The sequence below is a fragment of the Homo sapiens genome, chromosome 4 (genome assembly GCF_000001405.40).
Source record: "Homo sapiens chromosome 4, GRCh38.p14 Primary Assembly".
NCBI lineage: Eukaryota > Metazoa > Chordata > Mammalia > Primates > Hominidae > Homo > Homo sapiens.
The window spans coordinates 147,136,202-147,148,086 of NC_000004.12; the positions used below are offsets into that span (position 1 = coordinate 147,136,202).

Below are 11,885 nucleotides of genomic sequence, written 5' to 3' on the forward strand. Positions count from 1 at the left end.
TTTGGTTTGTCATGTGTTCTTAAGGTCCTTCTTCACCTTGCATGCCGAACTTGCTTTCCCTTTGGGTAGAATTTGTTCTCTTGGCAGAGGTAGTTGACAAACCTCCAAGGAGAACTGTAGGTTGTAGTCAACCACCTCCAGCATCCTTTTCCAAATTACTTACTCTGTGCCATGAGCCCAGCTGTAGCTATCAGGGTGTGTTTGTTTTTTCCCTTTGCTCTCTTCATATTGTCTCAATTTTTGAGCCAGAATAATTTAAGCACTAGGGTCTTGTCGGGTTTTGCAACCATGAACAGCCTTACAAAGTCTAGGCGTTTTGCCAGAAATCTAAACTTTGTTGAACTATGTTAAAAGGTTAAGCGTTTCACAGAGTTTGGCCTCCCCCACCCCCACCACACTCCCTGCCTCTGCCTTGTTGGTAAATGTCTGCTTTATCAAGAAATGGAATAACTAATAATGTGCTGGATAGAACATTTTCAACCATCACACTGTAACCATAGTAGTGCTAAAAACCCCAAACAAATGTTATTCACACTTCTCTCCTTAATCAAAAAGCTGAGGACAGAGAGTCATTGTTGTCATTTCAAGATGAAATGCTACACACTTTCCATAAAATACAAGTTTTAAAACAAAACTCTTATCAATTATTTGTAAAAATTTCTATGTTAACCAAACAGCTTCACTAAAATGAACGTCAATGAATGAAAATAAATCACAACCTCTCCAGACTGGAGGGAAGTACTGGTTCCTTGGCCCCTAGTTTTGAAAGCTCCCTGTGGTTATTTCCTGGAACACCGAAAGCTGGTTTACTCTTAGGAAGCTTCCGAGGTTTTCAAGTGCACAGTCAACAAGCCTAATGAAGAGAAAGGAAATTTAAAAATGTTTGCGAATTATCCTGGGTCCCCTTGTTTCCTTAGCCCCACATCGCAGCTAAGAGTAACTGCTGTCAACTTCTCTGATAAAAGAGTTCCCTCATTTGCCTAGTTCTCTCCATCCCCACTGTGGCCATCCTGATCCCAGTCACTACCCTCTCTTGCCTGGATTCCTATAATAGTGTCCTAACTGGCCTCCATTCATCCACTCTGCCTCCATTTTCCCAGAGCAGCCAGGCCATGAGGTCATCAGTGTCTTAAAATAAAAACACAAGCATCTTATCTTCCTTTATATGGCCTCATCTTAAAGCACGGAAGTCTCACCACTTGGAGGCCTTCTTTCTTTGCTGCAAACACACCAAGCTTATGTCTGACTTTGAGCCACTGTGGGGCATGCCCTTCTGTCATCTTTGGCTGGCTGGCTCCCCGCTGTCCTCAGTGATCAGCTTAAGTGTTGTCTCCCTAGGAGAGCCTTTCCCAGCCTCACAATCTAAAATCTCTCCTCCTCAAACCCTCTGTTATTCTCTACATAATCCACTTTTTAAATATTCCACCTGACACTTTCTCTAATATTTTTTCTATTAATCACCTGTCTTCTAACCGCCTCCACTGGTCATGGGCAAGAATCATACCTAGTTTACTGATGTATCTCCAGCACCTCTAATAGTGCTTGGGACACCAGAAGAACAAGATAAATATGTATTGAATGAATACATGAGCAAGACCAGAATAAAAAATTGGGTGATCGCTGCAGCTCCTGTGGCTTAGCTGTCAAAAGGCATAACAAGAACAGTTATTAGCTACTTTTGGGTAAGGGTCTGTCAGGGACTGAACATTTGATAGATGTTTTAGGGTATGCCATGCACATTTGCCAACTGAACCAGAGAAAATACAGCATTTATAGGCACACAAGAAGCTATGTTTGTCTTCTCTTGTGGGGATATTTGTGTCTTCATCATTTTCAGAATAATATTTCCAAGACAATCTCCTGAGAAGACATTTCCCTAAACAAAGAACATACATTTTTGCTTAATGAGCTAAGGTAAATGACTGGGGGATTTTTGCTAGATTGCCACAACTTTATAAGGAGTTTATGAACACTCGATTAAGTAAAATAACATAGTGCCCTTACTTCTCATCAAATAGCCAACTTACATGACTCATATGCATAGGTTGAAAACTACATCTGCAATCAAAGATCAGAGGCAAAATTGATCACTGGAAACTACTTAATACATCCTTGGCTTCTAAGCTGGGCTTCATCTAAAGCCAGGATTAACAACGGAAAGCATGACCAGAATGGAATGTGAGGTTTGAACACTGGGGAGAAGATGTCCCCAGGGCTGTGAACTGCCTTTGGTCAGCAGTCCTGGGAGCCAGGCTTGTTTCAGTCTAATGCAATTTTGCTCTCATGATCAATGGGATGGGAGGAAAACTGAGTGAGTAAACACACCAAAATATGTTTTATAAGATAAGAGAAAAGAGAAAGATCATGTAAGGTCACTTCTGAGAGAATGAAGATAATGACAAATGTATTGATAGAAGAAAGAGCAAGGAAATAGGCTGCCTCCAGCTTCATATGTAATAGAGCTTATAGAAGGCACAACTTTTTTGAGATTCACACCTCCATAGAGGCAGCCAAAGTAGAACCTGATCTGATAAAATTAGTGTCCTGCCATTGATCATACCACAGGTAAAGATACTAGATGATAATAAGGATAAGCAACTTCCTACTCCTAAACTCTCACAAGAGGAAGCATAGGATAAGGAAAAGGACTGCAATCCTTTTTGAAGTATAACATGAAAAGAAAAATTATAGACCTGGATCAAAGAGGGCACCTCTATCTTCACTTATTTATTTAATATGTATTTATTGGGCAATACTCTGTGCCAGGCATTGCATCTGGTACCAGGTACACAAAGATAACTAAGTTATAGGTCTTGAAAATAGGTATCAGGAAAACATGGACTATAACAAGCCCTACACAAGTTGAGGGTGGCTGGAGTGGCAGTGTCAGGCCAAAGAGGGACTGCTAGGTAAGAAGGGAGAAATATGAGCCTGGTGAGGCCCCAAGTCATTTCTGAAAATATTGATTAAATACAGACATACCTTGTTTTATTGCACTTTGCCTTATTGCACTTCACAAATACTGCAATTTTTACAAATTGAAGGTTTGTGGCAACCCTGCATCTGCCAACTCTATGAGAGCCATGTTTCTAACAGCATGTGCTCACTTTGTGTCTATGTCACATCTTAGGATTTCAAACTTTTTCATTATCATTATATCTGGTATAGTGGTCCGTGATCACTAGTCTTTGATGTTACTCTTGTAATTATCTGGGAGCATCAGGAGCCATGCCCACGTAAGACAGTGAACTTAATTTATAAATGTTGTGTTTTTATTGCTCCACTGACTGGCGGTTCCCCCATCTCTCTTCCACTCTTTAGGCCTCCCTAAGACACAATAACTGAAATTAGGCCATTTAATAACCACACAACAACCTCTAAGTGTTCAAGTAAAAGGAAGAGTTGCATATCTCTTTCTTAAAATCAAAAGCTAGAAATTACTAAGCTTAGTGAAGAAGGCGTATCGAAAGCCGAGACAGGCTGAAAGCTAAGCTTCTTGAGCCAGACAGTTAGCCGAGTTGTGAATACAAACGAAAACTTCTTGAAGGAAATTAAAAGTGCTACTCAAGCAAACACATGAATGAGAAAAAAACAAAACAGGCTTATTGCTGATACGGAGAAAGTTTGAGTCGTTTGGATGGAAGATCAAACCAGTCACAATATTTTCTTAAGGTGAAGCTAAATCCAGAGCAAGAACCTAAGTCTACTTAATACTAAGAAGGCTAAGAGAGGTGAGGAAGCTGCAGAAGAAAAATTTGAAGCTAGCAGGGGTTGGTTCATGAGGTTAAGAAAAGAAACCATCTCTATAACACAAAAGTGCAAAGTGAAACAGCAAATGCTGATGTAGAAGCTGCAGCAACTTATCCAGAAGATCTAACTAAAATAATAGATAAAGGTGGCTAGACTGAACAACAGATTTTCAATGCAGATAAAATAGCTTTATATTGGAATAAGACGTCATTTAGGACTTCTATAGCCAGAGAAGAGAAGTCAAAGACTCAAAAGAGAGGCTGACTCTCTTGTTAGAGGCGAATGCAACTGGTGACTTTAAGTCGAAGCCAATACTCATTTACCATTCTGAATGTCCTAGGGTTCTGTCTTGGTTCATTTCTGTTTCTATAAAGAAATATGCAAATCTGGGTAATTTGTAAAGAAATCAGGTTTAGTTGGCTCATGGTTCTGCAGGCTGTACAAGAAGCATAGCACCAACATCTGCTTCTGGTGAAGACCTCAGACCGCTTCCACTCATGGTAGAAAGTGAACAGGAGCAGGCAGAGATCACATGGGGAGAAAGAGGTAGAAAGAGAGAGAGAGAGAGTGAGAGAACACAAGTGGGGAGGGAGGCACCAGACTCTTTTTAACAACCAGCTCTCACGGAATGAATAGAGCAAGAAGACACTCATTAGTGTGAGGATAGCATCAAGCCATTCTGAGGGATCTGGCCCCCACAATCCAAACACCTCCCACCAGGTCCTACCTCCAACACTGGGGATCAAATTTCAACATGAGGTTTGGAGGGTCACATACAAAAACTATATAGTAAAGCTTTAAGAATTATGCTGGCCGGGTGTAGTGGCTCACACCTGTACTCCTAGTACTATGGCAGGCCGAGGTGAAACCCCATCTCTACTAAAAATACAAAAAATTAGCCAGGCGTGGTGGCGGGTGCCTGTAGTCCCAGCTACTCAGGAGGCTGAGGCAGGAGAATGGCGCGAACCTGGGAGGTGGAGCCTACAGTGAGCTGAGATCGTGCCAGTGCACTCCAGCCTGGGTGACAAAGCAAGACTCCGTCTAAAAAAAAAAAAAAGAGTCAGGAAACAACGGATGCTAGAGAGGATGTGGAGAAATAGGAATGCTTTTACACTGTTGGTGGGAGTGTAAATTAGTTCAACCATTGTGGAAGACAGTGTGGCAATTCCTCAAGGATCTAGAACCAGAAATACCATTTGACCCAGCAATCCCATTACTGGTTATATACCCAAAGGATTATAAATCATTCTACTATAAAGACACATGCACACGTATGTTTATTGCAGCACTGTTCACAATACCAAAGACTTGGAACCAACCCAAATGCCCATCAATGATAGACTGGATAAAGAAAATGTGGCACATATACACCATGGAATACTATGCAGCTATAAAAAAGGATGAGTTCATGTCCTTTGCAGGGACATGGATGAAGCTGGAAACCATCATTCTTAGCAAACTAACACAGGAACAGAAAACCAAACACCGTATGTTCTCACTCATAAGTGGGAGTTGAGCGATGAGAACACATGGACACAGGGAGGTGAACATCACCCACGGGGGCCTGTCGGGGGGTGTTGGAGGCTAGGGGAGGGATAGCATTAGAAGAAATACCTAATGTAGATGATGGGTTGATGGGTGCAGCAAACCTCCATGGCATGTGTATTCCTATGTAAAAACCTGCAGGTTCTGTATCCCAGAACTTAAAGTACGATAACAATGATAAAAAGCCTATAATGGTCTGGTGGGAATCTTAGATTCAGCTTGATAACATACACACACACACACACACACACACACAAAAGAATTATTACAAGTATTCTCTGCCTGTCATCTATAAATAGAATAATGAAGCCTGGTTGACAGCACATCTGTTTACAGAATGGTATACTAAATATTTTAAGCACACTGAAACCTACTGCTCAGGAAAAAAAAGGTTCCTCTCAAAATATTACTGCTCACAGACAATGCACCTGGTCACCCAAGAGCTCTGATGGAGGTGTACAAGGAGTCATGTTGTTTCTATGCCTGCTAGGACAACATTCCTTCTGCAGCTCATGGATCAAGGAGTAATTTTGACTCTCAAGTCTTATTATTTAAGAAATACAGTTTTGTTAGGCCATAGCTGTCATACACTGTGATTCCTCTGATGGATCAGGGCAAAGTACATTAAAAATCTTCTGGGAAGGATTCATCATTCTAGACACCATTAAGAACATTCATGAGAGGAGGTCGAAATATCATTAGCTGATATTGGAAGAATATCATTAGCTGATTGGAAGAAGCTGATTCCAGCCTTAATGGATGACTTTGGGGGGTGGTTCAGGATGTCAGTGGAGAAAGTCTCTACAGATGTGGCAGAGGTAGCAAGAGAACTAGAATTAGAAGTGGACCCTGAAGATGCCGTTGAATTTCTGCAATCTCATAATCAAATTGGAACAGCTGAGGTGTTGCTTCTTATGGATGAGCAAGGAAAGTAATTTTTTGAGATGAAATCCACTCCTGGTGAAGATGCTGTGAACATTGTTGAAAAGACAACAAAGGATTTAGAATATTCCATAAACTGATAAAACAGCAGCAAGATTTGGGAGGATTACCTCCAATTTTGAAAGAAGTTCTATTGTGGGTAAAATACTATTAAACAGTATCACACGCTACAGAGAAGTATGTCATAAAAGGAAGAGTCAATCTAACCTTCATTGCTGTCTTACTTTAAGAAATTGCCACAGCCACCCCAACTTTCAGCAGTCACCACCCTGATTAGTCAGCAGCCATCAACATTGAGGCAAGGCCTTCCACCAGCGACAAGGTTTATCACTCACTGAAGCTCAGATGATTATTAGCACTTTTTAGCAAAAAAGTGTTTTTTAAATTAAGGTATGTGTATTTTTATTTTAGATATAATGCCATTGCACAGACTACAGCATAGTGTAAACATAACTTTTTTGCTTTTTTTTTTTTTTTTTTTTTTGAGATGGAGTCTCACTCTGTCACCCAAGCTGGAGTGCAGTGGCACGATCTCAGCTCACTGAAACCTCCACCTCCCAGGTTCAAGCGATGCTCCTGCCTCAGCCTCCCAAGTAGCTGCAATTACAGGCACACACCACCATGCCCAGCTAATTTTTGTATTTTTAGTAGAGATGGGATTTCACCATGTTGGTCAGGCTGGTCTTGAACTCCTGACTTCAGGTGATCCACCCACCTTGGCCTCCCAAAGTGCTGTGATTATAGGCATGAGCCACTGCGCCCAGCCTAAACATAACTTTTATATGCACTAAGAAGCCAAAAAATGTGTTTGACTCACTGTATTGTCATGTTCTGGAACCAATCCTGCAATCCCTTTGAGGTATGCCTGTACTTCTTTTTCTTTTCAGTTCTCTCTCCATCATAGCTCAGTGAATACTACCAAAATATAACTTATTTTTATCACTTTTCTGAACAGGTGTTTTTATCTCTAAAGACAAGGGGGAAAAAACTCTAAATAAGTCTTTAAAATAGTATGTTAGCAATGGCTACTCCTGATCCTTTATCCTCATTATTTCCAAACATTCCCCCAAAATGAGATGGTTTCCCTTAATTACCATTTATTACTGTATTAAATAGGAAGCTCCTGTCCACTAACTTGAACACATTTTAGCTGCATTTGAATTACTCAGTTTTCTGAAAATGTGCAATAATTTCTTTTTTAATTTAAAATATTTTTGCCAAAATTGTACAATTCATTGGCAGTGACCACTGACACATGTATTCAACAATGTTTACCAGCTACATCCACTTTGTACAAGTGAGTGAACTGTGCAATAGGAAGACAAAGGCAAGTGAAATACAACTGACTGCTGCCCTTCAGGAGTTGACATCCTAATGAGCACAGGTAAACAGGGCATTCCAAGAGTGTGCAAAGCGCTATGACTGAGGATAAGTGCTAATTATGAGGGCACATTGTCAGACAAAGGCTTGGGGTGTCAGAGAAGTTTTTCAAGGGGAACTTCAAAATTGAAACCTAAAGAATGAGAAGAATTGAACAAAGGACAAAAGAGAAGAATGTTCTAATAAGAGCACGTATTTTCAAAAGCCCAGAGACAAGAGATACATTCCAGAAATTACAAGAGCCTATATTGGTGAGGGCTGTGGGAAGAGTGGGGTTGGAATATGTGATGGAGGAGGAAGAAGATATGGATGGTGCTTAAGTTTTCAAGCTGGTAGCAGGGGATAGGTTGTAAAAGATCTCATAAGCCGTATCAAATATTTTGAATTTTACCCTGAGGGTAATGGGAGCCTTTGGAGGTTTTTATGCAGGGAAGCCATGAAAATGATTTGTGTTTTAGAAGACTAACACTGACCCCAGACTAAAAAATAGATTTCAGGAAAACTGGATTATGGTAGCCATATAATTTAATATTACATATGGCTCCTATAACCCATATGAAGGTAGTGAAAGCAGTGGTGTCACAGGCCAAAGGGGGAACTGTTTGGTAAGAAGGGAGAAAATTGACCATGTTAAATATGGATGTTAACAAATCCATATAGAAGATTGAAGATGCAATCAGCAAAACAGTTCTTAAGGGACACAAGAAGGGATGTCATCCAGAATGCAGATTGAGGGAGTATCTTTGAGAGAAAGACACATCATCCATTGAAACAGGAGGAAAAAGCAAATGGTAGATTTGGATATAGGTAAAGTTTTCAATATGGTGGCAGGAATTGAGGAAGTGATCTTCTTGTTTCTGTTTTCTTTAATATCTGCTGGCAAGATTTGTTGTTAAGAGTAACAGGGGAGGAGGTAGGGTCAGGAGTTTGAGAAGGGTGGGGATTCTGAAATAGCCACATTGGAAAATAGCACAGAGAGATGACTAAGTAACCATGCAAGTGTCTCTGGGTAATGTTGAGTATTTTGTTGAGATTAAAGCCATACACTTCTAGTGGAATGAATCTGGAAAACTATGTTAATGGCTTCAGCAGAGCCCAGGTAGAGGTAAGAGTAGAAATTTGGAAGGACTTAGTTTAACGTATTGCCAGGTGAGTATGGAGGAAGAATGAAAATGCAAAAGATTCTGTGGATACTGACAGAAAGATGGCTCAAGGGATAAATCATGGAAGCAGAGTTGGAAAGGAATGAAATTGGCATGAAGGAAGACTGGTAGATACAGCAAAAAGGGCTAGAAATTAAATATATTTATGAAGTAAAAGGTCAAGAATATTGAGAGTCATTACATATGAGAGACTGAAGGAAAGGAGGATGATGTAAAACAGTGGCATAAATGAATTGAAATATTCTGAGGTGGAGAGAAAATCCAGGAGCTAGCAAGATCCAGGTTACGGACATGAGAATGAACAGTTCAAGGGGCATGGAGGAGAAGGCCATTGAAGTTGGGATTATGAAGGAACTGAGAGCCAGGGTGTCAGTGCATCATCTACACAGACATGCAGGAGAATGCCAGAACTCAAAGTGAAAGAAAGACACAAGTAGCTACTAAAGTCTTGAGCAGACAAAGGAATACATTGGTGGGAAAGGGCAATGAAGAAGGATAAAAGATGATACAGTCAGATGGCCTGAGCACCAAAACAGTGTTTTTTTTATCAGGCTGGATGAGCAGTGGTTTGAAAGAAGCCAAGGAGGAGGCTGCTGAGCCCACTTCCTACCCTGAGGAAAGTGATGTGTGGACAGATAACCTGACCTGACTTGAGAGGGCTTCAGGAGAAGTGATTTCCTCAGATGCAGACAAGTAATGGATGGAACCAACAGAGATGGGTTGAGGATGTAATGTTGTTGGTTAACTATAGAAAAGGGTACCACAAATCTCAGATGAGAGCCTGGGATGGTGGGAAATGGTCTGAGGTTGACTCAAGGGAAAGAGAATACCTGAGGAGAGAAAGAACTGGAGGGCCATTTGTCCTAAGTGTCAATCAAGGAAGTCAGAGATGTGAGGCATGGTGGGTTCAGCTGTCCTCAGGGTTTCCAAAGAATTAATAATAGGTTTCTTCTTGGAGCTGCAGACAGTTAGGTTGTTTGAATTAGTTACAGGTGGGATTCATTTTTGATCACTAGGGAACCTCGTCAAGGTGAGTAGGCTAGCCAAAGGATTATTTGATTCTTAAGCCTCACCTGTTAGGAAGGGCAAGCATCACTGAGGGCTGCAGCAATAGGTCAAGGGCTAGACTTTAGACCTAGTACTCACCTCCAGAGGATGAAGAAGCTCTCTACTCTTTATGGTCTGAGCTTCTAGATTCCAGACAAGCTGGGTCTTGGAGAGAGGCCCCTCAGCTCCCTTTGGAGACGGTATTAGTGGGAATGATAGGTTCCAGAAATAATGCCAGAGCTCAGGCGCAGCTGCAGCCTCTGGAGGCTGTGTGTGTGGGGGTGGGAGAGGCAGGGGGGTTGGTCTGGTCCCTCTCCAATTTTTAAAAATTATCTATTTTTTAAAAATAGAGGCTGGGCATGGTGGTTCACGCCTTTAATCCAAGCACTTTGGGAGGCTGAGGTGGGTGGATCACCTGAGGTCAGGAGTTTGAGACCAGCCTGGCCAACATGACAAAACCCCATCTCTATTAAAAATACAAAAAAATTAGCCGAGCATGGTGGTGGGCGCCTGTAATCCCAGCTATTCAGGAGGCTGAGACACAGAATTGCTTGAACCCAGGAGGCAGATGTTTCAGTGAGCCTAGATCACGCCACTGCACTCCAGCCTGGGCAAGACTCCATCTTAAATAAATAAATAAACAAAATAAAAATTGAGACAGGATCTTGCTTTGTTATGCAGGCTGGAGTGCAGTGGCTATTCACAGGAACGATCATAGTGCACTGCAGCCTCTAACTCCTAGATGCAGGCGATCCTCCAGCCTCAGCCTCCTGAGTAGCTGGAACAAAAGGCAAGGCATGTGCCTATAGTTTTTAATAACCACAAACATACAAAACAGCTGGATATTCAATACATAGAACATTTTCTATTTATTTTTTGGGCAAATGAACTAAAAGTTGCCTAACTGATGTCCTGCTATGCTTGGATTTCTTAGTGTGTATTTCTGATAAACAAGAACTTTTTTTATGTAACCACAATACATCTATTAAGTTAGGTGATTTAGTTTGGATATTTGTCCCCCTCCAAATCTCAAATTGAAATTTTATCCCCAGAGTTGGAGGTGGGCCCTGGTGGGAGGTGTTTTGGTCCTGGGAGTGAATCCCTCATGAACGGGCTTGGTACCGTTCTCATGGGAGTGAGTGAGTCTTCACTTAGTTGCCATGAGAACTGCTTGTTGAAAAGAGCTTGGGACCGCCTCCTCTCGCCATGTGATCTGCACATGCCAACTCTCCTTTTCCCTTCCACCATGAGTGAAAGCTTCTTGAGGCCCTCACAAGAAGATTCAGGTACCACGCTGCTTGTACAGTGTGCAAGACCATGAGCCAAATAAACCTCTTTTATTTACCCAGCCTCAGGATTTCATTTATAGAAACACGAAAATGGACTCAGATATTAGGAAATTAACCATGATATCTCACAGTGATAGCATCACCTAATTCTCAAACGCCATCTACGTTTTGTACATTTCCCCAATTATACACTTTAGAGCAAAAAGATCCAGTCCAGAATCATGCATTTGGTTGTCATGTCCCTTAATTGTCTAGTCCCTTCAACCTAGAACAGATTTGCAGTCTTTCCTTGACTTTCCTGACCTTGACACTGGAAACTCTGCAGACAAGTTACTTTGTAGCATGTCCCTCCGTTTGGCTTTGTTCAGTATTTATTTTTGATTAGATTCAGACTATGCCTTTTTGGCAAGAATATTTCAGAGGTGACAACATGTTCTCACTGAATTCTACCAGATTACAAGTCATTTTTATTAGTCCCATTACTGATGATGTTTACTTTGATTTCTTGATGGAAGTGATATCTGCAAAGCTTCTCCATTGCAAAATTCTTCCTTTCTCCTTAGGAATTAACAATTATTTTGGGGGAAATATTTTGAAACTATATAAATATCCTGCTTCTCTCCAAATTTTCTATTTATTCATAAATTTATTTATACCTAAATGAATTTCCTATTTCATTTAGTGGGTTATAACCCATTACTATCATTAATTTTATGCTCAAATTGTCCCAAGTTTGGCTACAAGAAGCCGATTTAAACTCATTTCTACT

At 41.0% G+C, this 11,885-nt stretch overlaps 1 annotated feature.

Annotated features, from left to right (window-relative positions):
• Positions 1,049-1,585: an enhancer, noted in NCBI's record as "NANOG hESC enhancer chr4:148058402-148058938 (GRCh37/hg19 assembly coordinates)". NCBI's record gives its function as "activates a minimal SCP1, AML or CMV promoter by ChIP-STARR-seq in naive H9 embryonic stem cells {active_cell/tissue: H9 hESC(naive)}" and the evidence as "EXISTENCE:reporter gene assay evidence [ECO:0000049][PMID:30033119]".